At 37.4% G+C, this 23,697-nt stretch overlaps 1 protein-coding gene across 7 annotated transcripts in view, besides 3 other annotated features; it reads right to left on the bottom strand.

Moving 5' to 3' along the window:
• The window catches only part of SLIT2 (slit guidance ligand 2), a 368,657-nt gene that overhangs the window by 179,677 nt on the left and 165,283 nt on the right, over nucleotides 1–23,697 (bottom strand). The gene's annotated exons all lie outside the window — the stretch shown is intronic.
• Nucleotides 385–679: a silencer, noted in NCBI's record as "tiled region #13128; HepG2 Repressive non-DNase unmatched - State 24:Quies, and K562 Repressive DNase matched - State 9:DNaseU". NCBI's record gives its function as "represses a minimal TATA promoter and a strong SV40 promoter by Sharpr-MPRA in HepG2 and K562 cells {active_cell/tissue: HepG2 | K562}" and the evidence as "EXISTENCE:reporter gene assay evidence [ECO:0000049][PMID:27701403]".
• Nucleotides 21,711–21,760: an enhancer, noted in NCBI's record as "active region_21363". NCBI's record gives its function as "activates an Ori minimal core promoter by ATAC-STARR-seq in GM12878 lymphoblastoid cells {active_cell/tissue: GM12878}" and the evidence as "EXISTENCE:reporter gene assay evidence [ECO:0000049][PMID:35858748]".
• Nucleotides 21,881–21,950: an enhancer, noted in NCBI's record as "active region_21362". NCBI's record gives its function as "activates an Ori minimal core promoter by ATAC-STARR-seq in GM12878 lymphoblastoid cells {active_cell/tissue: GM12878}" and the evidence as "EXISTENCE:reporter gene assay evidence [ECO:0000049][PMID:35858748]".

The following is a 23,697-nucleotide window of genomic DNA, read 5'->3' as shown; positions in this document are numbered from 1 at the left end:
TACGATGACTCCTCAATAGGTGAGTCTCTTAAAAATTATGCCCACCACACTCGCAAATGTTAAAAGAACAATTAAATGCTTTCTAGTTGGATATTTAAGAAATGGAATCTATTGACATCTTACAAATAAATCCAATACATATCAAATAATAAAGGTTACAAAAGAAACTTCTAGAATTTTAAAATTACTACAATTCCACACTGATCTGAGAAAATGGCAACTTCAAATTCAGAGGTAATTTTGTTTAAACAATGTCATTAAACAGATGAGATTATTTCAGCAAATTTGGAGCTGTCCCATTTTTATTCATTGCGTTGTTTTCTATTGCCGTGTATCTCAGTGTTGCTTTTTTTTTAGGGCCGTATATATCAGCTGAAGTTCAGAATATACTGTGCTATTTACAGACCTGCAGCAGTCAACATCTGTAGAAAGGATTCAGAAGTTGATTTAAAGTCTGCAACATAAGCATATCCAATCCTAATGGTACACAAGACCATATATCTTCTTTGAGAGACTGACACATGGTCCCCACTCTGACTGGTGATAATGCATCCCTGCCAAGCCCAGATGTAGTTTCAACTCCAGGGAAATGCAACGTAATGATGAATTGGTATAACCCAATCATGCTAACATTTGTATTTGGAAACCCTACAGTGTAGTACCAACAATTTTTTTTTTATTTCCCCTAACTATGTTTCTTCAAGTATATCAAGATGTTCTGCCAGAATGACAAGCATATGATCAAATTTAATGGTATATAAAGATACGGCAGACTGCTTTCCAAAGCAAAATTTCATAGTTGGAACTTTTAACAATTAATTGCACTTCTGGCAACCCCACTGAAATTTAAATTAAATGGTGTAACTATTTCATTAGAAGGCTTTGGCAAAATAAACCTAATAGATGGAAAACTTTATATAATTAAAAATGGCAAGTGATCTGCTTTCTGTGTGCTTTTAAGTCAATAGGTCTTAACTCTATGATGTCTTTTTCTCCTGCTATGTGGTGAGTTCCTCAAGGGCAGGAGCTGAACTCTATTTATCTATGGTTCTTAACGGAGTTCACAGCACAAAGCAGGCACTTAATACATATTACTAAATCTTTGTACGGGTTCAGATATTAGTAGATTGTGAGTTTTAGAATCCAAGTTTGAATCAAAGGCCTACCATTAATGAAGTCAATGGCTATGATAAATGGAATTGTGCTCCCCTCACACCTCCCAATTCACATCACTTGACTTGCTCTCCCCGTATCTCCTTATTTAAATGGGTCTTTGCAGAAGTAATCAAGTCAAAACAAGGTCATTAGGGTGGGCCTTAATCCGATATTATCGGTGTCCTTATAAAATGGGATAATTCGGACACAGAGCCAGATACCACAGACAGAACATCACATGAAGATGAAGGCAGAAATTGAAATTATTTTTCTATGAGCCAAGGAAGACCACAGATTGCTGGCAAACCACCAGCAGCTAAGAGAGAGGCATAGGACAGAGTCCTCCTCCAAGCCCTCAGAAGGAGACAACCCTGTGGACACCTTGATCTTGGACTTCAGACTCCAGAACTGTGAGACAATAAATTTCTTTTGTTTAAGTTACAAAGCTTATTGTGCTTTGTTATGGAACGTCTAGCAAAGTAATACAATGGCCTAGACCAAGGCATTTCACCTCTATGTGTCTTACATGTAAGATATAATTAATACCTCGGAACTGTGTTTAAAACATAGTAAATGTTCAATTAAAGCTTCCTGAAAATGACAAAGGAAATAATAACTCATCCAAGAAATATTTATTAAGTACATTTCATGTGCAACGCCCTGCTCTATTTTTTGGGGAAATAGCTGTTAAGACTTGCCCTTACAGAGCTAACATTCTAATGAGAGAAGAGAGACAACAGCAGATAAGTAAACAATATAGTATGTCAGACAATAAGAAACTATGGAGAGAAACACAGGGAAGGTGAATATAAAATAAGGGGTTGAAGGAATATAATTTTATATAGACTTGTCAGCAGTGATGACATCTGGAAAATGACACATAAACCGCATTAAGTAGGTAGCACATTGCATAGGGAAGAATATTCTAGACAGAACGAATGGCCAGTGCAAAGGCCCCAGGGTGGAAATATTCCTGACATGTTGTGATAACAGAAAGGGGGCAAGTGTTGTTGAACAGAGAGATCAGAGAGTTAACAGCAGGAAATGAAATCAGAGGGGGAATTCAGGGAGACTGTGGGAGCCAAGATCAAGGTAAGGGCTGGTGTGGGAGCCAGTAGGCTGCTTGAAGGCTGATATGGTTTGGCTCTGTGTCCCCACCCAAATCTCATCTTGTAGCTCCCATAATTCCCATGTGTTATGGGAGGGAACCAGTGGGAGATGATTGAATCATGGGAGTGGGTCTTTCCTGTACTGTTTTCATGATTGTGAATGGGTCTCACGAGATCTGATGGTTTTAAAAATGGGAATTTCGCCACACAAACTCTCTCTTTGCCTGTGGCCATTCACGTAAGATGTGACTTACTCCTCCTTGCCTTCTGCCATGATTGTGAGGCCTCCCCAGCCATGTGGAACTGTAAGTCCAATAAACCTTTCTTGTGTAAATTGCCCAGTGTTGGATATGTCTTTATCAACACCATGAAAATGGACTAATACAGAGGCAACTGCAAAGTTATGAGCAGAGTGGTAACATGGTCTAACTTATGTTTTAAACAGGATCACCCTGGATACTGTTTGGAGAATCATAAGAAGGGAGGTAAATTGGAAGTAGAAAGACCAGAAAAGAGAGTATTCCAGAAACGGGGTGAGTGCTGTAGGTAGCTTGAATCAGGCAATGGAGATGTTGAGAAATGATTCTGGATATATTGTGAATGTAGAGTATTCAGGACTAGCTTCAGAATTGGGCATGGGGTATGAGGTAAAGAGGGGAGTCAAGGATAACTCTTAGTTTTTACTTTTTTTTTTTTTTTTTTTTTTGAGACGGAGTCTCGCTCTGTCACCCAGGCTGGAGTGCAGTGGCGTGATCTCAGCTCACTGCAAGCTCTGCCTCTTGGGTTCACGCCATTCTCCTGCCTCAACCTCCCAAGTAGCTGGGACTACAGGTGCCCGCCACCATGCCCAGCTAATTTTTTTTGTATTTTTCAGTAGAGACAGGGTTTCACCATGTTAGCCAGGATAGTCTCGATCTCCTGACCTCGTGATCCGCCCGCCTCAGCATCCCAAAGTGCTGGGATTACAGGCATGAGCCACCACGCTCGGCCTGTTTTGGGTTTTTATAAGATAAGGTCTCACTCTGTCACCCAGGCTGGGATGCAGTGCTGTGATCATGGCTCACTGCAGCCTCTACCTTCCTGGCTTAGGTGATCCTCCCACCCCAGCTTCTCTGGGTGCTGGGACCCCAGAGGCACACATCGACACACAGATAATTTTTAATTTTTTTGTAGAGACAGGGTCTCCCTATGTTGCCCAGGCTGGTCTCAAACTCCTGGGCTCAAGTGATCCTCAGGCCTTGGCCTCCTAAAGTGTTAAGAATACAGGTGTGAGCCACTGCATCTGACCTGACTCCTAGTTTTTTGCCTTCAACAAGGAGAGGATGACATTCATGAGAAGGAAATTTGCAGGAGAAGCCAGCTTGGGAGATGGCACCAGAAATTCAGTTTTGCACATGTTAAGATGGAGATTCTGCCGAGCAGACATCCAAATGGAGATGCGGGGGAGGCAATGGTATATGAGTCTGGATTTTAGAGAGCAGGTCCTGACTAAAGATAAATTTGGGAGTCATTACAGAATTAAAAATCAAGAAATTATATGAGATCACTAAGTGAATGAGACAAAATGCTTACATTTATTAAGTGCTTACTGCATTCCAAGCAATTTTCTAAATGTTTTACATATGTTATCTCATTAATCCTTGTAACTAACTCTGTGGTGATTGAATAGTTTGCATTTTCCATTCCCTCTAATTTTTGGACTTTGCCTAGTTTTACAAAGGAGGCTGTTACTCATCAATTTAAGTATTATTGATCATGACCAAAAGAGTGCAACAAAATTATCTTGCCCCTAAATCAAAGGTCAGCAAAGTTTTTCTGAAAAGGGCCAGACAGTAAATATGCTAGGCTTTGCAGGCCATATTTTTGTAGCAATTTCTCCGCTTCATGGTTGTACCTTGAAAGCAGTCATCAACTACTCATGAAGAAATTACTGTTGCTGTGTTCCAATTTAACTTTATTTACAAATCCAGGAAAAAGGCTGGATTTCACTTTAGGTTACAGTTTGTAGACCTCAATCTAAATACGTGATTTGAATTAATTTGATGTTTTATGTTGATAAAATCGAAGACAAATACCCTAAAAAGTGCAACATTTTCCAGTAAGCAAGCCACTCTGGGTAATAAGTTTTGATGCTTACAGATTTCATATTACAGTGGTCTTAAAATTTAGAGCATCCTCAAATCTAGGAAATTCCGGAAAACACATGGCCTGGTGGCCCTCACCTGGGATGACTCCAGATTTTCTATACATTAGAGGCCTAGCCATGGAAATACGGTAGAAGGAAGCAGGCTAGGTACATGTACTGAAGCACTGTTTGCCTAACAAGCATATAGTTTTTACTTAGATTGTATGTTTAAAGAGGTAGTGTGACTTTGGGGGAAGTTACTGCAGATTTTGTGCAAGGAGAGTAATCTTATTATTTTGATTCTTAATCCTTTACTCTGGAAAATAATTGTTTCTGATAATCTACTTAACTGAAGTCTTACAACATCTGGACTTTTGTCTTTTGGATGTTTACCAAATTCAAGAAGATTCCAAGGTAACAAAATTGACTAAGTTCAACTGAGTGCATTATACTTTGTAAGAAGCATGGCACATAGCCTGGTACAAGGCAGGCACTCAGTAAACATCAGCTCATTCACTCACTCATTCAAAAACTATCTTGTATTCAACTCTTTAATTCACTCTATAATTCAGACCTTTATAAATCCTCACATGTACTCCTAGTCATCCCACAAATGCAAGTTAAATTTATCTGCACAATATCTACATTGGTCGACTTTTCATGACAGGATAAAGTTAACATTTAGCCTGACCTTCTAGGCATGCCACAATCCATTTTTACCTATTTGCTTACACCTATGACTTCATTTGGAATGCTCTGATCTAGCTAGAGTCAACACCCTGTTATTCTTCAAATAAAAACTTTCTAGGAAAATTTCTTAAGATTTTATTCATGTTCTTTTCATATGAAATTTCCTTCGCCTGCACTAAACGAAATTTCCTGTCCTGTACTAAATGAAGGCATGTCTGTTTTTTCCAGAGCCAATTCAATGTGGCCCTTCTCAACCACTCCAGTCCATGATGTTTAGTCCCTTCTCTAAAATCTTACAGCACTATCCTTTGAACTACACTCATTTAATTACAGTTTTTTTAACACTAATCTCAAAAGCCTTAAGCATGTATTCTCTTAGCCATACTCATTTTATTATTAAATTGTACTGTCTTATTAAACTGCAAACTCCTTGAAGTCCAAGACCATATGTTTTTAATTTTTCTCCCAGTGGAGTTAAGGATAGTGCCTTGAATGCAGGGGATCAATCAATATCTGCTGTGTGCAAGGACCACTGGTTGTCATACCAACTAGAAATTGTAGCCACCTACACTCCAGAGAGCATTTATAATCCTTTCCCTAGCAAAAGGTTGCACATACAGCACTTTCTCACAACTAATGAGTGAAAAAGTGAATGAATGATCTCAGGAATTTAGCCCAAGAAAATAAGGAGCAATGTTGCCAAACATTTTTATGAGCAAAAAAACTTTTTATTTTAATAAATGTATAAAACAAGTTAAATGTCCACTAATAGAAGATAGGATATGTAGATTGTAGTTCAGTACCATCAGTAACTAAATTAATAATTCTATAAATAATGAATAATATGGAAATATTCTCATGGTACAGTGGTAAGCAAATATGTGGAAGATAATTCTATATGCCATATGTTCTCAATTTTTGGAATTTAGATAACTTTGACATGCACCTTGCTTTCATACATTTCTTTGCATTTCAACCATCACTCCTCTTGGTCAGGCCTTATCACATTTCCCCTGGGCTACCATATTAGCTTTCTAAACAGACTTTCTAGTTCCTATTTATTTCTTCAAATCTCTATGGTTCAGCCCCCAATTAAAACATCTACCTACGTTTCCACTTATATCTTGCCAGTTTCCATCTATGATCCATTCCAACCATTTACTGAAAATACTTTCCACTGTCCCCATACCCCTCAACATTTTCTGCTCATCTACCTGTAGTCGTAAGACTCTTTTCTTGTTTTAATGGTGAAGTGCAATTTTCCTGAGACACTATAAAAGCCATCCCTTCCCCATTTTCTTCTTCTTTTTCTTTTTTTGAGACAGAGTTTCGCTCTTGTTGCCCAAGCTGGAGGTGCAGTGGTGCGATCTTGGCTCACCACAACCTCTGCCTCCCGGGTTCAAGTGATTCTCCTGCCTCAGCCTCCTGAGTAGCTGGGATTACAGGCATGCGCCACCACGCCCAGCTAATTTTGTATTTTTAGTAGAGATAGGGTTCTCCATGTTGGTCAGGCTGGTCTCAAACTCCCGACCTCACGTGATCTGCTGGCCTTGGCCTCCCAAAGTGCTGGGATTACAGGTGTGAGCCTCCACGCCCAGCCTCCTTCCCCATTTTCGTATTTCACTTCTTCCCACTCCCTGCATGCATCCCAACCTGTGCTGTGTCATACCCTTTAGGGTCGGTACCTGCCTTCCCCCGATGACGGCCATTCCCTGGAGATCAGAAACACTGTTATTCATATTAGTATTTCTCCAAATGGGACACAAAGCTTTATCCTAAAGGGAGTCTAGAACCTTTTAATTCAATTAAAATTTTAGATAAGCAAATTTTATGTCCTGAGTCTTCACTAAGTGAAGCTTTAAAAAAATCTTTCTAAAACCATCTATTAATAGAAAGATTTGGGGGGGTCAGAATTAGTCTTTTAGGGAACTTGACCCTCTAAACGTATGTATCACTCACAGTAATTAAAGATGAGTACCTATAACTTAAAATCCACCATAGTATATAGAGCATGTGTGAGTTAATTACGAAGAGGCAGATAAATTGCAAAGATGATTCTGCAAACAGAGGGAAAACCAGAGTTAAAAACTCACTGGCTGGTTGGGCACCTTTGTTCAGGGAGTAACTTGCCCACCAACAGAACATGGCCCTGAATTACTATTCCCTTTTTAAGAGGTTAGTTTCAAACTGTTTCCTAAAACTAAACCACAGTCTCAGGATACAATGGCAAAAAATAGCTTCGTATATTTACAGAAGGAAAATAACATGACGTTTTATTGTGACATGAAAAGAATATGCAATGTATCTTGTCCAACACTGTGCAGCCTACCATTCTAAATGGGAGACAGGAATATAAACACACCACACTCCGGGAATCTGAAAACATGTATCTGGGCTTCTTTATTTAAGTTAATCATTATGTCATATGTTAACAATATGTTATTATAGGGTTTAATTGCTTTTGTGTCTAACAAGTTCTCTTGTCAGTTAACCTTTCACCCACAGATAGATAATGAAAGGCCACCTCTGTTGTGTCACTCGGTAGTTCATTAGGCAGAAATGCCGACTGTTTCCTCTACCAGTCTTAAGTCAACACAGTGCCCATACCAAGCCAAAGGCATTCTAACAGCTTCTAGTGGCTTTCATCTGGCTGGTGGTTGCTGTAAGATTCAGAAGCTAACTAAATAAAGTATGTGGTATACACATACACAGAGTTTGAAGGTATTTTTTTTTTCTAGCATTCCTTTGGAAGCATACCTTAACTCACAGATAGCAACAGTACAGTTGACAGCACTAGCTTTTAGGAAGTGGAGGAGGAAGTGTGAGAATGTAATGTGGCTATGAAGGAAAAAAATATCATCTTTGTGAATTTTTAAAATTCAAATGATTCTTCTTAAGCATATTCTACCGCAGTGAAAACTGTGCAAATTAGAGCACAAACACTTAAGTACTTTAATTAAGCAAAGAACACACCCCTCACATTTATGTTTTCAAGATTTATTTTTGCAATTAAAGTAATGAATCTATTCAAGAAAATTTTAGTTTTTAAAGAGTTCTCCTAATTGTATAATTTTTTCCAGCTTGTAAAATGCCCGATAAGAGCTCTTCAGATTTTCCAAAACATTCCCCTTACATCACGTTGTGAGAAATACTTTGAAGGCAGCATTTATGCACTTGGAACAGGATACTCAGGGTCCAGGAACAACACCTATTAACTCTAAAATTAAGTAAGTCACTTTGCTTCACACCTCTGGTGGCCAAGTATTAAAAAAAAAAAAAAAAAGGCAGACAGTCTGCAGCTATGAATGAAGGCTCAGGAGTCCTTTCATAATATTCCAGTTGATCGTGGTCCTTGTTGAGAGGTCTTACCTCATTTCCCACACATTTTCTGACCTATTTTGTCTGCCTTTTCTCAGAAGTATTTTTCTTGCTTCACTGTGGACTAAGCAGTAAACTAATTATCTTGTTCAAATCCCTTCGTAACGCCCCTAATCCTATTAGTCATAAGAATGTCTGAATACTGATTGCAAACCTTATTTTCCTTTCTGTCTTTTTAAAGAGAGAGACAAAAAGAGAGAAAGGTCCAGTGGTTTTGTCCTAGGGGATGGGGAGGGGTTGTAGTGAGCAGCTCTAGCCAGTTCACCGAAGGCAAAAGGCAGTTTTGGCCAGCCAAAATCGCAGCCACCTAACATACAGAAAAATTTCTCTCCTGTATTCCTTCCTTCCTTCCTTCCTTCATTCATTCACATTTTGTGTGTCTGTCTGTCTCTCTCTCTCTCACACACACAAGCACACACACACACAGAGAGTGAGAGATTTACACACACACACACAAACACACACAGAGAAAGAGAAAGAGAGAGAGAGAGATTTAGTTATCATTTGTATCAGTTGGAATGTCTTACAATAATCAAGTTCCAAACACTCCTACTCACAGTAGAACATGCTGAACCCTGGCCCCGGCCAGGAGCTCAACTTCACTTTCCTCCTTTTATCAGGGACATTTTAACGAAGAGGGTGACGCTATTCCAAGAAGTCAAATAAGCTATATGAAGTAGAGGAAATGAACAAATGTTACAGCGGACCTCGACCAGCCCTTCCAGTCTTAACTTCTTTTCTTCAAAGAACTCTCGCAAGTCTTGTTAAAGCACTCTCTCTCTGTCTCTGTAGAAGATGCCAAGACCACTGCCTCCTGCTGTCTATTACTGAGGGAACTTTAATCACTTTTCCTTTTTTGTTCCCACTGGGGAAGGAGCCAGACTGCAGCGAAAGGCCTGCAGTCAGAGTCGATGTTAAAGAGCATGAAATTTATCTGACTTCCATAAAAGATGCGTTCAGCCCTTCCATTCCTGCTTTTGCCAGGCAGGCTGCTCTGGGGATAGCTGCTCTGTCTTTAAAAAAAATAAAAATAAAAATAAAAATAAAACACAAATATTTACTTTAAATATAGAGGCACACTGTTACCTCCTAGCATCTAATTTTCCTAGTCTACCTTGCCTTCCTACTCCATCCCCTTCCAAAAAAGTCTATGTTCTTGACATGTAAAGTCAACTTTTTTCCATTAGTAAAAGTGTCTCCTTATTGCATTATTTGTTTCTGATAGTAAAAGAAAGTATTGTTTTAGAAACGACCTTGAAGAAGATACGATATGAGTTAGAGGAAAACCCATTCATTAACATTATTTCTGGGGCCTGAGAAAAATATTACAAACATGAGGAAAGTGTAGATTCCTTAGATCGGATCTCAGGCTGCCAACGTAACACGGTTCAAATACTAAGTGCTTCTATTTTGATCTGTCGCCATCTTTAGCAACCAAACAGTCTGTTAAGACACAGAAAGTTGGGTTTCTTCTGGACAGTTACTTGGCATACAGGAAAGAGTTAGTGAGTGTCAAGCGTGTGTGTCGATGGTATACATGTAGATATGGATCTCAATGTAGAGCCTGTGGTAAAAAGGAAGTGTGTATCACTCCTGGGATACACATGGCCTGCTGCTTTAAGGAAGGCAAAGGCCTATAGAAAGTGTGATGTCATTGTTAGCAGTAAACTGTAATGAGAATACGAGGCCCCATGGGCGGGAGGATGAGCAAGTTGTATGGTATTTATACAATGTGTTATTGGATGCAGAAATGATTCTAGGTAGTTTAAGGAAATGTGTTTTATACAACAGGATACATAAATAAATAGGTAAGTAACTTGTGGTGAAGGTTAAGGGTTATTCATTCACAGTAAGCCTTGTCCCAAGTAAGAGGTGAACTATAAATTTAGTTGTGTTCTTGGCAAAGAGAAAACATGTTCTGTCTTTGATATTAAAACATACCAGCTATCCAGGAAAAACACATTTTTTTCCCTGACGCTGCAGTAGAGAGTGCATCTGCCTGAGAGGCCACATGAGAAAACAGTGCATAATGTCTTCAAAAACATTTCTACATAAATACAAGAGTAAATGTCCCAGCAGCATCTTAGAATATCCCTCAAGAAAGTCAAGGGCATAATAGCAAGTAATTATGTTAGGACCAAATTCACATAGCTAAGCATGAGCCTGCAACTCCAATGGTCTAGCTTGTAAGATATACCCTAAATCTGAAAATTATTACTGTAATATATGACAACACGGAACATGTGAAAAGCAATAAGAAAAAAAGAATTTTTAAAACATGTATACTAATCTAAAAATAGTAATTCTTACAATGTACTTCCTGGACTGCTTAGTCTGTGTTTTTTTCAGTATGATACAGCCAACATCTTATGTTCTATACAATTGTAAAAAAACTCATATAAACTTTTCCTGGTTAGCTTAATTTTAGTTTTTATTAAAAAGCACTAAATGAAAATATAATTTGTTATCCTTATTTATTTAGAACATCATAGATTGATTTTAATACTCTCCACTGATGTCCTCTGCCAGCAGATGAAATCCAAGCATGGCCTAAAGAGATCGAGTAGACCTGGTTCCTCTTCACCCTCCAGCTTCATTTCTTGCTACCCTCTTCTTCACTCACTGCTATTTCTGTTACTCAGATACAACAATATAAATTTATGGCACAGGGATTTTCCATTTCCTGATTTCTCTCTCTCAAATGCAGTTGATTCTTTGTTCCTTCTCTGCATTTGGGACTCAGCTGAAATACTCAATTCTCAAAGAGGCTGTCTCTGATCCTCCCATCTGAAATAGCTCTCCCCTTTTCCCACTCCATCCCATGACCCTCTTTTATTTACTTCCTGTTACTTCCTGTTATCTGAAATGATCTCATTTGCCTCTTAAAAATTTATTTGTGTACGTAATCATTACTTCCAGGTTCTCCATCATCAAATGTTAAGAGCCAAGAAGACAGAAAACTTGTTGCTTCATTTATGTCAATAACTGTGAAATAGAATAGGGTCTTCCATAAATATTTGCTGGAAATGTGAATGAACTAAATTTACCGTTAGAAAAGACAGTGTCTTTCCAAATATAGAATAAGGACTTAAATTATAATCCACATTTTAACATTTACAAAAATTGGGATTGCATAGGAAACTTCATTGAAACATATGAAAAAAATAATTTCTGCCTTGATTATGAATCAAGCAGAGGAACCGATAAACTCGCACCGAGAACAAGTCTTTTAATGATATTAAATTACTTTCCGTCTATTTTGAAAAGCACCTCTGTGTGCCCAGGATATGTCCACAAACTTCATGTGTTTAAGAGGCAGCCTGATCCCCATGAAGCAGCTTCAAAAGAAAGTCAAAGTCGAAACGTCCATCTGTGCCATAGAGGACGTGACAGCTCATAACAAAACCACAGCAAATGGACTTACTTCCTAAGACACAAAGCTCTGTGAGTATGGAGGAAAAGTGATGTCATTTGCTGGCCAGCAGCTCTCAGGCCACAGGCCCTCCTAATCCCCAATTGATACTGACAACTGCAGTGACCAGGGCTAAAGCGGAGTTCAAGTGGGGAGCAGGACAGATGCCACTTTAACGTGTCAGCAATTTCCCATTTAAAATTAATACTGTACAAATGCCCTTCCATTAGCAGAGTCAAATTATAGTCCTGGAAGCCCTTGTTTAATGGAAAAAACGATGCAGAATACTACAGAAGTCAGGCCAGGAACCCAGTGGAAAGTCTAGCTGTTAGATGGAAGGAGAGATCATCCAAGAGTTGTAAAATACTGTATTTTCTATTATGGCCACTTAGGGGCACTCAAAGGCCTAGAAATGGTCTTTTGAGTCCAAATTATAGAACCCAACCTTTTTAGTGTGAGAACAGCAAACAATATATAATAAGTATATCTCGGCATATCTTCCTATTGAGTATCAATTCCCCTCACACAAATACAACTACGTTTTCTTAGTTCACAATAACAAAAAACCTCAAAACACATTTTGAGGAAAAGAAAAGCAAGTAAGTGACTACCATGAGTCAAGATAGTATTTTCCCCTAGGTAGACAAGAGCGGGTATGACAGAAAAGGCACCAGGGGACTCATGTGGCATGATGGCAGGGCTCCATCTCGCCCTGAGTGGCAGGCATGCGGGCATTTCTTTTACTCTGTATATTTATGTTTGATATTCTGTGTACATGTGTGTGTGCTCTGCAAAATAGTAATTACTTCTGATCATGGTTACATTTACAATATGGACTTTAAAAACACATACTAAAATTTGAATCCAAGAGCTGTAAGTACGGAGATCAAACACATGACATTAAGAGTCAAACATGGGTTTAAATCTACTTCTTTTACTCCCTGTGAGACTTAGTCCTCAGTTTTCTCTTTGCTGTGAACAATTATGAACGTGCTGACTTTGCATTGTGGTAGTGTGGATGAGATGAGTGAGAAGTAATTAGCACAGTATGGATCACAGGGTAGGAACTCAAAATGGGTTTTCTTCTCTTCTCAGTCCTTCAGGTTTGTAATTTAGGTCAGAAGACTTAGAAATGAAGAGAGGCATGGTAAAAAGCATAGAGAACAACTGATTAAGACACATGAATTTCAATAACATTCTATATGTAGTTGGGGGAAAAAGACCTGAAGAGAAAAAGCAATAATCTATTCATAGTATCTAATCATTACTGGGAAGTTTTTAGAAGACTATTGACAGTAGTGATTATCAGCCATTGTTAGAAAGGTTTCAAAAAAAAAAAAAAAAAGAATGCAAATTCATAGCTTTCCCTGGATGGCTTCACTTCACTTGTTCAAAGACACCAGCAATGTTGGAAAAAATGAGAGCTCCTACAAGAACACTGGCCTGCAGCCGTTATTAATTAACTTTGGACACAAAATACCATACTCATAAGCACATCATATAGATAGGTTTTTAAAATGCAGCCATATGCTTTCAACTTTTAGAATCCATAATGACAAACTTTTGACCAAATATCTTTGATTCTGTGGATGTACAGACTTATTGTGTAAGAATATAATTTTTCCTATGACCTTTGAAAATGAAAAAAATGGGTTCTAACAGGCTACAGGACATGTATATGTACATTAACAGAAACACATACTCTTAATGTTTTATATAAAAATACCAACATTGATATCCTTTTCCTGAAGGAGCACCATCTAAGGAAGTAGCATGGTTTCACAGAACCTGTGATGTTATTAAAACTAAAAGCTATTGGTTCAGGCCGGATCACAACCATTTACAGGCTGTGGATTCTCAGGGAAAATCTCTGTTTTCTTTAAGCCTGTCTTTGCCTTTCAATTGAGGATTGAAGTCTGCTTATCTTGCAGATTTTCTAAGGATCAAATGAGATAAACATACTTCTTAAGCTCAGGACAGCTATACCATAAATGTTACATAGTGTTTGGTTAAAGCTTAGACTATAGAGGGCAGGTAAGATTCAGATCCTGGAGTGCCTCTACCTGGACTCTACTCCTAACTCTTAAATTTACCAGTTCTGAGACCCTGGGCAATTTACCTGCCTCTCTGTAACTGTTATTTCTCTGGGAAAAACAATGAAATCTTCCCCAGACAGTTGTTTTGGGGTTTAAATGAAAGAATATAAGCCCAGCCCATATGCACTACTTATCATTGTATTTTTTTATCATCATTATCAAATAACAGGTAATCTTTTTATTATGCATCTGTAGCTTTTCAGCCAAGTATCATTTCCTGCTCTGTAGATCCCAGCTCTCATTTCTTAAGTTACGGTTTAAGGTTCTCCTTCTTTTTCTGTCCCTCTTCAATCAATTTCCAAAACCTAAAGCTACTCTAAATATGTGTTCCTTACAATTTTAGTTATCATCAGCATGCAAATGGCCGTACCTGTCAACCTCTAGATCCTTTCTCATTAATAGCATCTTACACAGTGCATCTTTTCAGGTCATCTGTGATTGGATAACACACTGCTAAATCTAGTGAAATATGACTATTTTGCAAAACTGTTTTTCCCCTACCACCTTTTCTTATACAAAACTCCCTATTTTCTAAAGAATCTGATTCCCCAGCCTCTCCACTCATTCTTTTACTAGCTTTGAATTTGTTTTTGTATACATCATTTATAAATCTTCCCCTTCTATGCTGCCTCCTACACAGTGAAAGTTGTACTCAACTCTGTGCTCATCTGCCAGCAGTCCTGGTGATATCCTTTCCTTCCCTACTGCCTCCGCATTCCAGGTTTGGAGCTGCTTCATTCAAGCATGTGTTGGTTAAGCCAAAGTCAGCTGCCATGTGTTAGGTACCACACTACACACTGAGGATGCAATGGTGAAGAAGGAGCAACCCTGTTCTCAAGAAGCTCACAGTCTATAAGGGAGCACTGAGCAAAACACTCATTCACACATTAGTCTAATAGGAAAAAAATCACAGGTTTACAGAGAAGCTCCTAAGGTGACAGCAAATCCCAAACTGAATTGTCAGGGATAGCACAGAAGAGTCTTGAAAAACTCATGGTCATACAAAGGATTGGCATAGGAGGGAGAGGCAGGCAGAGAAAGGGACATATGAAAAAGCATGGAATCTGCAGCAGCTGGAAATAATGCTACACTTGAGTTTTCTCCATTTACTACTTTAAGTTTTCAGCAAAAGTACCACTTTCTCATGTAAAGTGTTCATATAAAATCTGTTAACTTTTTGGATATTTGAAAGACTAAAGCATTTCCTAGGGGCTTAAAGTTGAACTCACTAAAAGGAATTTCTATGTATTAAGAGTGGCTTTTCCCTTTACAAACGGATTTATGGACAGGAAGATTTGGAAAATAATATTTTTAGAAAGTAATTTCCAGCAAGTTAAAATTGTATCTAATCAATATGACATTTCTTTAAACGGGATCCTTGTTCTCTACAGTAGATATACACCACACACGTGTATAAACTTATTTTTTCTGAGACTATTTCATTCATATAAATAATAGCCATTAGAAACTTGGAAGGTATTTATAGAAAAAAAGACTTGGTGAAAGCTCAGGAGAAATGGACAATGGTTTTATTTGTTTATTTATTTATTTTTTTGATAGTGTCTCGCTCTATCTCCCAGGCTGGAATGTGGACAATGAGTTTTTTAAAAATGACATTTAAAAAACCTTAAACAAAACAGTAACAATAACTCTGCAAAAATACAACAAAATAGGACAAAGCATAAAACTTTGTGAAAAAATTAAAACTTATTGTTTAAATACAAAGTCATTAATTAAAAAAATAAGGTTTGCCTGTATCCACAAAGTCTGAAGGTCAAAAACAATCCAGAAATTGCTACAGCTAAACTAAAACTTCATGAGCACTCATAATAAACTTCAAACACTGTTTAAAACATACCAAAAGTTCAGGGAAAATAAGCAAACACCATCCTTTGGGAAAAAGACAAGGGTTTTCATGAGACAAATTATGCCTTATCAATCAACTGAAATATTTAGAAAGAATAAATATGTAAACCAAAAATATATAGACACACTTTATTTGGACTTGCAAATCTGATATTAGTAAAGTCTCATTCATTGTTACTTTAAAATTTGAGTTACCACGGTACTGAGGTGGATTGATAAATACAGAAATATCCACTAAGGGATATATAGAGATGAAAACAAAAGGTAATGAACACCTGGTAAATCTCTGAAAGCAGGGGGGCCTCTCACAGAATGTTAACAAATGCTTCTGTGACTGTTTATAAAAATATACAAATGCCCAAAAGCAGATGTGCACATTGACTTTGTTTCTTAGTGACACACTTGGCATTAAAACAATTTCAACTAGAAAATAGATTTCTATGGAATCATGCTAGATTTCTGTATTTTGATTGTCAAATCTAAGCATTTTAAAAAAATTAGACGACAAATAGAAAATGACATGTATGTTCTGTGAATAAATGGTTACTACAGTATTTGAGAAAAACCCATACATGTGAAATTTTATTGTATGAGATGTTATAACATGCCTGGTATTTTTGAAGTTTATGGAAAAACTCATGGGCTTTTTGAATCATTTGAACTTCTTGATGTATTTTCTCAAATTACTTTAAACATTTTTTCTACACTAGAATTTTATTCTGGAATTCCATAGGTATTATGATGGGTAAGTAATCTAATTCAGAAAGAAGACCTGTCAGAGAACAATAAAACTTTGTCATTTTCATGAAGTTAAGGTGCTTTGAAATTGATAAGCAGATAAAAGTGTTTTATGGTTAGTTTGTACTAACTTGATCAATTTAACATTCCTGGAAGGTGGCAGTAGTTGATGGAAAAGTGTGCCAATAAAAACATTAGTTCCACGTATGTTCTATGCCAACTCTGAGTAACATGACAATGAACAAATGGTTTCATTTACACATTTAATTTACTAATTTTATGAAGCAATCTAAAATATTCCCTTTTCTAGAAGAATCAATCTTTAAAAGTAAACCAATGAAGAGAGAGATTGCCAATAGATTCTTTAACCATATGAAATTCGTATATCAAGTTGATCACATGAGCCAAAATTACATTCCTTTAAGGAAACACATGTAATGCAAAGTGACACTTAAAACTCAAACATTTAAATGAACTCATAATCATCCATTCTTAGTGGTGTAAATACAGAGTAAGCTTAGAATTTTCCTTACTCATAAAGATAATTTTAACATATAACATTTATATTTGCATTATGTTTATGAGTTCTACCTTCAATATTTGATTCCGTCATTCGGTATACAAATGTTTACTGTCTGACCCTTAAATGCCAATCATAGTACTGAAGGTTTAAGAGAAAGGTCCCATGTGAAATTGTGAGAATCAAAGGCAGACCTCTTGTGGTCAGTGAGAATTCTACCACTTCTCCATTTGTAATCAGGAGCACTCTCTTCTTCCACCTTGAAATATAATTTAAATCCTAAACGACAAATTTGTGTAAACATGTTAAACTTTGTATTTCTCAAATTCTAATTTAGTCACACTAAAATTATAAATTATAATTTATAATTTCCTGAAATTATAAATTATAGTATACTTTTTAATAAGTTCTTTACTTTGGTAAATATTCGGGGATGTTGCAGAAAATGTAAATAATGAGTATTTCAATTATGTTCACTAAGGGTATCTATTTAAATCTTTCCATTGTCCTAAGTCTCCTTTTCTGGTTTTTAAATATGCCTCCTTTATCTCAATTAACTTGGTTTTCTAGAAATTAAACAAAATAAGATCATCCCCAATCTCAGTGTTTCCCCTATGTCTGTACGTGGATTTACTTTGGCTGTAGTCTAAAAATTTGGGTCTAGTATATGCAAACTGTGAGTCACTCCTCTGGGAGAAGGCATGAAAGAAACATGGGGGTAAACCAGAAGACACAAGCATAGTAGAGATTGGGATAGCGATGTCATAGAAAGCATTAAAAAACTTAAGGAACAAGAAATAAAGGCAAGTGAATAGGTTAAACATACATTTTCTAACCACCTCCTCCCACCCCCCACCACAATAAGCAATTTTAAATAGAGTGGCTAAAGTTAATAGTGCCACATGGGGAAAAAAATCAGAATGATATTGAGTATTCTGCACATCCACTTCACTCCGACCTCTATTTCCATTCTCATTTTCCACCCTTCTTTCCTTCATTGATGCTGGCCTCCTTTCTGCTGCTCAAAAATCCTGCCTCGTTGCTGCCTCAGATCTCCCAGATGTAAAGTCACCTTTATGGCAGTCTGGCTCCATCTCATTCAGGCCACTGTGCAAATGTCTTCTCAGAGAGACTTGCCCTGATCAGACCATCTGAAAGAGCCTCTCATGCCCCCTTCTGCCCACTGCCTCTCATTACACTAAAGCCATCTTAATTATTTCGTTATTTACCTGTTAACATTAGGATGTAAGCTTCCTGGAAGCAGTGATGGTGACCTGTATTGCATCATTTGAAATTGCCAGCTTTTTTTGGTCAATCAAAATGATCAAATAGTGGCAATTTCCTATGGCCAAAATGAATATTCTTGTGTATGAAACTGAGTAAAAATGTATGACTAATTAAAAGTTCCTCCACTAATTTTCACTTTAACATGTATTTCTTTTCCCCCAAATAGCCAAAGACAGATGAGGGACTATGCCCATGTTAACTATTCCAGCTATGTTAATTCAAGCCTGGATTAATTATGATCTCATCTTGACTTCTCTACTAAAAGTCAGACAGATTAGAAAATATTTTTGTTTTCATAGCATACTATCTATAATTCACATTGACAATGCACGCAATTTGCAATTTTTTTGTGATACAGATATATCAATATATAAATTTGAGTCATCTCATTGAGATGACAATTAAAACGTATTATGAAGTGTGAACTTGGATCGAGGAAGAACAAAAAGGAGCCAAGAAATGAACTCTGAAATCTTGGTAGTGACAGAGCACCAGGCCAACAGCAACATGTTGTGGAGGTGTTCCGTCCATGCATCCATTAGAACCATGTGGAAACAATTCCTGTAGATCCCTAATAAGCATAGGCTGACTTTTCTGACAAAAATGAACAAAAAACCAAAGCATAGATCTGAAAAGCAATCTTGCATGCACATGCACAGGTGCTGTCAAATGGAGAAAGGGAAGGAGGGAGGCAAAGAAAACATTCCGTTAAGAATTGCAAAATGCTTAGAGCCTCTTGACATCAGAGCTGGATTTCATGGGCTATGTTAGTGAATTGCAAGACTTATCAGCTTGCTCACAGGATCCCTCTCATCTCATTACATTGTAAAAATAAATCTATTTATATTTTTCTTAATCTTTTGGGGGCTGGGGAGAAGGGAATATCGATACTTCCAAAACAAGTCTCTACAAAATATGAAAGAAATGATTTACAATGCATTTTAAATGGCTTTGTAAGAAAATCTGATCCATGCTTTCAAAAAAGTTTATCGTTAAATTTAAAGCTTTCCTTCTAACTCCTTCATATGTTGCTCCTTTTAATGTCAACAGGAAATCAACAATGAAGAAGAGACATATGGTGAAGGGAGGGACAGAGGAACTCATCGTGAATCAGCTCTCTCCACTGCAGGCAAGAAATGAAAAGTTTATATTTTTAAATGTTACTACAAAATGTTCCACTGGCAAGCCTGGGAATTCTAAGTGGCATGAAAAGATCAGACTAAAGTCACTTTCAAACATACCTGGGATCTGAAAGCTGTGACTGACTTCTTGGAAAAGGCGAAAGTCTGATACATATTTTTCAATAATGACATCCCTCATCCTTCACCAAATCCTTCATCAAATTTAGGAAACTGAAGGTCATCCCCATTTTAATATCTGGGCTAAAATGCTGACACTACTAATTACCTTTTCTTTTAATTCCCTCCATTCTACCTCCAGGTACCAGTTTCAGAAAATCAAAAAATGGTGTTTTAACTTGCTAGGGATGCCATCAGAAAATACCACAGACTAGGTGGCTTTAAGAACAGAAATTTATTCTCTCATAGTTCTGGAGGCTAAGAAGTCCAAGATTAGGGTGCCAGCATGATCTGTTTCTGGCAAGGGCTTTCTTCCTGGCTTTCTTCTTGCTGTATCCTCACACAGCAGACAGAAAGAACAAGCTCTCTGGTGTCTCCTCTTATAAAGACATCGATCCCATCATGAGAGCCCCTGGCCCATTACCTCATCTAAATCAAATTGCCTCCCAAGTACCCCCCTCTAAATACCACTGCATTGGAGGTTAGGGTGTCAACATTTGAATCTCTTCCTCCCTTTCTTCCTCCCTTTTTTCTTTCTCTCCCTCCCTTTCTCTCTCCTTTTCCTTCCCTCCTTCCTTCACTTCTTTTTCTGTAAATGTCTTATTCTCTGTGTCTTAGTTTCCACATCTTTAATCTATGGCCTCTAGTTCCTAGGGTTCTACAAGGATAAAATTAGGCAATGTTTGTAAAACACTTGATACCTAATATTGGTTAAATAAATAAAATATATTATTTTCAGGTAAAGTTGAAGGACCATGAGGGCACAACTTAGTGTCTGCATAGTAACTGGCATACAAAGTGTTGCATCAATATTTGTTGAATGAATTAATAGTGAAAGACTAATCACTTGGAAAAGGAAGCATAGTGAGTGCTTCTGTAAGTACAACATGATTCTCAAAGGCTTCTTGGAACTAAACATCTGCCTGAATCCAAAAGCACCAAGTTAAAAGTGTGGGTCAGTCATGTACTCACAGTTGTAGTATGTGGACAGAGAAGACCCTAACCAAAACCTATTGCTAAAAATGTACGCATTAGAAGTGAGAAAAGTGGAGTTGTGTTCGGGTAGTTATTTAAGAAGACAGTGCAATGAACTATGAGCCTAAAGAAGGATGAGTAGGGAATGATTTGGATATTAGAGACAGTGGTTATCATTTATTGTTCAAATCTACCATTTGAAGTGCCTGGTTTGGCCCTATTTTATTTCAAGAACCCATAGAGACAGCTGCACAGAACCTGCATGAGCCATGTTAATGTTCCACATTGACTTACTTTAAATCTGTGACCTTTTCTAGGACCAAAAGAAAGGGTAGACATAGGCGCAAGGAAATCTCTGAAAGCTAGGACTCATCCTATGATATAGAAAACCGTGTGAAGGTTACAAAACACACCATCATCGATCTCTCCTGTTCTTAATATTCAACTTTAATGCAAGCTGTAATCGGAATGCAGCCACCATTTTTGAACTTCTACTCTATAACAGTCACTGTATTTATTTTTGCAACACACACACACACACACACACACACACACACACACACACACAGCTTAAAACTTACCCTTAACAGCAACACAGCCAGGTATATGCCATCTTCCCCATTTTAAAGGTGGGAAAATTGAATATCAGAGAGGTTATGTCAATTGCTTTAGGTAATACAGGCAGCAAAGAGAAAATCTGAGGTTGGAGTCCAGTGTATTCCAGATCTGAAATCACTGTTCTAGTCTCCTTTTTCCCAAGAACAACTGGAGAAGCCCATGGGAATTTTCAGTTTCTCTGAGTGGCTTGTCACATTAATCCAGGTAGAAAGAAATAGTAAGAGTAGTAAGTAAATCATTAAATAATTATACAGTTTTAGACATTTATAAGCATACATACACATATGTGTGTACATGTATGTAAGCACATTTTTATTAAAATAATTTAAATGTATAAAAATTATAAGATATGAAATCACACATATACAAAGGAATTACGGGGGTTCTTGTGACATTTATTGGCTTTCAACAGTTGACATGTCTTCTAGATACTGTAGAAGTATTTGTGTTCTAAGACACCACCGCAAGTGTTACTATACTGCACTATTTACAAATGTTTTGAAATTGAAAGTGTGTATAATACTTCCTTACAAGGTGGAGCAACATTGTGAGTCACAATGGTGCCATCTACTGGGAAACTGGTAAACTATGAAAATAGAGAAAATGGTATGCATTTAAGGGAAACAGAAAGTATCGTACTCTGATATCCTTCCTGTTCACTAAAAAATTCCAATAATTAGTTTTTTTCTGTGGGGCGGGAGATGAGAGTTCATGGGTACAGTTAATATGCTGGAAAGCAAACAGTTCACACCATAATCCTTTCACATTTGTTTTCTCTCTTTTAATTTGATATCATTTGTGTATGTGTATGTGTGTGTTATTTTTCCTACTATTTACCCGAGCCAGAAATAAGAGAAAATGACTTTTCAGTAATTAAAAACAAATTTCAATATGTGACAACTTAGAGTTGTTCTCAATCCTAATATGCAGTTACTTCTCCCAAGAAATTCCCAGGTATTAATTTAAAAAGTCTTTGATGTCTTAGTTTGCACAACATATGCTATCGGGTTTGAGTTAATAAAATCATCCTCAAGTTTTCACTGTGGGTTGTCAAAGGCTCTTATGACACCTTTTCATCAAAGTAAATTAAATATTCATTGTATCCCATAGTAGATCTATTGGCCGCCCTCAGTATAACTAGGCTTTTGGAGTGAGAATAATACAAAAACGTTTCATTACTGGTGTTTCTTTCAGCTATGTATAATGGAGAAAACTAGGACCTTACATAGATACCTTCATAAAATGACAGAAAGCAAGTCTTAATTAACCACGTGTTTTTTTCTACACATAAATTTGCTATAATACATTTTGAATCCTTGTCTCTAGTCCCATCACCACCCAGGACTTTCATAGACCATTTTATCTAACCATGTATAACTTCAGAGAATTAAAACTAACAACAGCCGAAGTGAAAAAAGCGTGATCCTGTCAGATAAGCGGTTTTAAAATTTTTATTTGTTTGGCCTCCTATGTACAGAGTCATCCATTCCCATGCCAATTCAACTGATATTGATGGTCAGACCCCACTACATACCAACATTAAGACAGAAAATGTCTCTGCCTCTTCCAGTGGTACACTCTACTATAGGAGAGACAGGACAACCCCTTAAGATCATTTCATACAGTGGAAAGTGCTGAAAATTTAACAAGGTGAAAGATAGTTATGGGCTACAGTGGAGCATAGTAGGAACACATATGCCATTTAGGATGTGAGTGATTATAAGGGCCACAAGAAGAAGTGATTTTTGTACACATCAAAGGGATAAGAAGGAGTTGGCTATGTGAAGATGAGACAAGACTGGTTAAGATTGTGGGAAGCAGGCTGTAATCCCAGCACTTTGGGAGGCTGAGGCGGGCGGATCACAAGCTCAAGAGATCGAGACCATCCTGGCCAACATAGTGAAAGCTCTTCTCTACTAAAAGTAAAAAAATTAGCTGGGCGTGGTGGTGCGCCTATAGTCCCAGCTACTCGGGAGGCTGAAGCAGGGGAATAGCTTGAACTTAGGAGGCAGAGGCTACAGTGAGCTGAGATCGCACCACTGCACTCCAGCCTGGTGACAGAGCAAGACTCTATATATATACATATATATATATACACACACACATATCTATATATGTATATGTATATATACGTATATGTACACACACATATATATACGTATATATATATATATATATATACACACACACATATATATATGATTGCGGGAAGCAGGCATATAAAGTCCTGAAGTAGAAGCTAGCTGGGCATGTCAGAAGAAGATAGTTCTCCAGTCACTGACAGAGGAAGAGAGGGGTAGGAAATACATTAGCAGAGAAAGCTGGAGCCCTATCTCCAAATCATGAGACTATGGACAAAAATAAATCAACAAACAAAGAAACACTAAGAAAGGAATAAGGGGATTAGGATGAGTCAGACAATAAATGCAA

Source organism: Homo sapiens, chromosome 4, assembly GCF_000001405.40.
Source record: "Homo sapiens chromosome 4, GRCh38.p14 Primary Assembly".
In the NCBI taxonomy this organism is placed as follows: Eukaryota; Metazoa; Chordata; class Mammalia; order Primates; family Hominidae; genus Homo; species Homo sapiens.
Note: the sequence above shows the minus strand (reverse complement) of the source record. Positions and strands in the feature narration are given on the sequence as shown.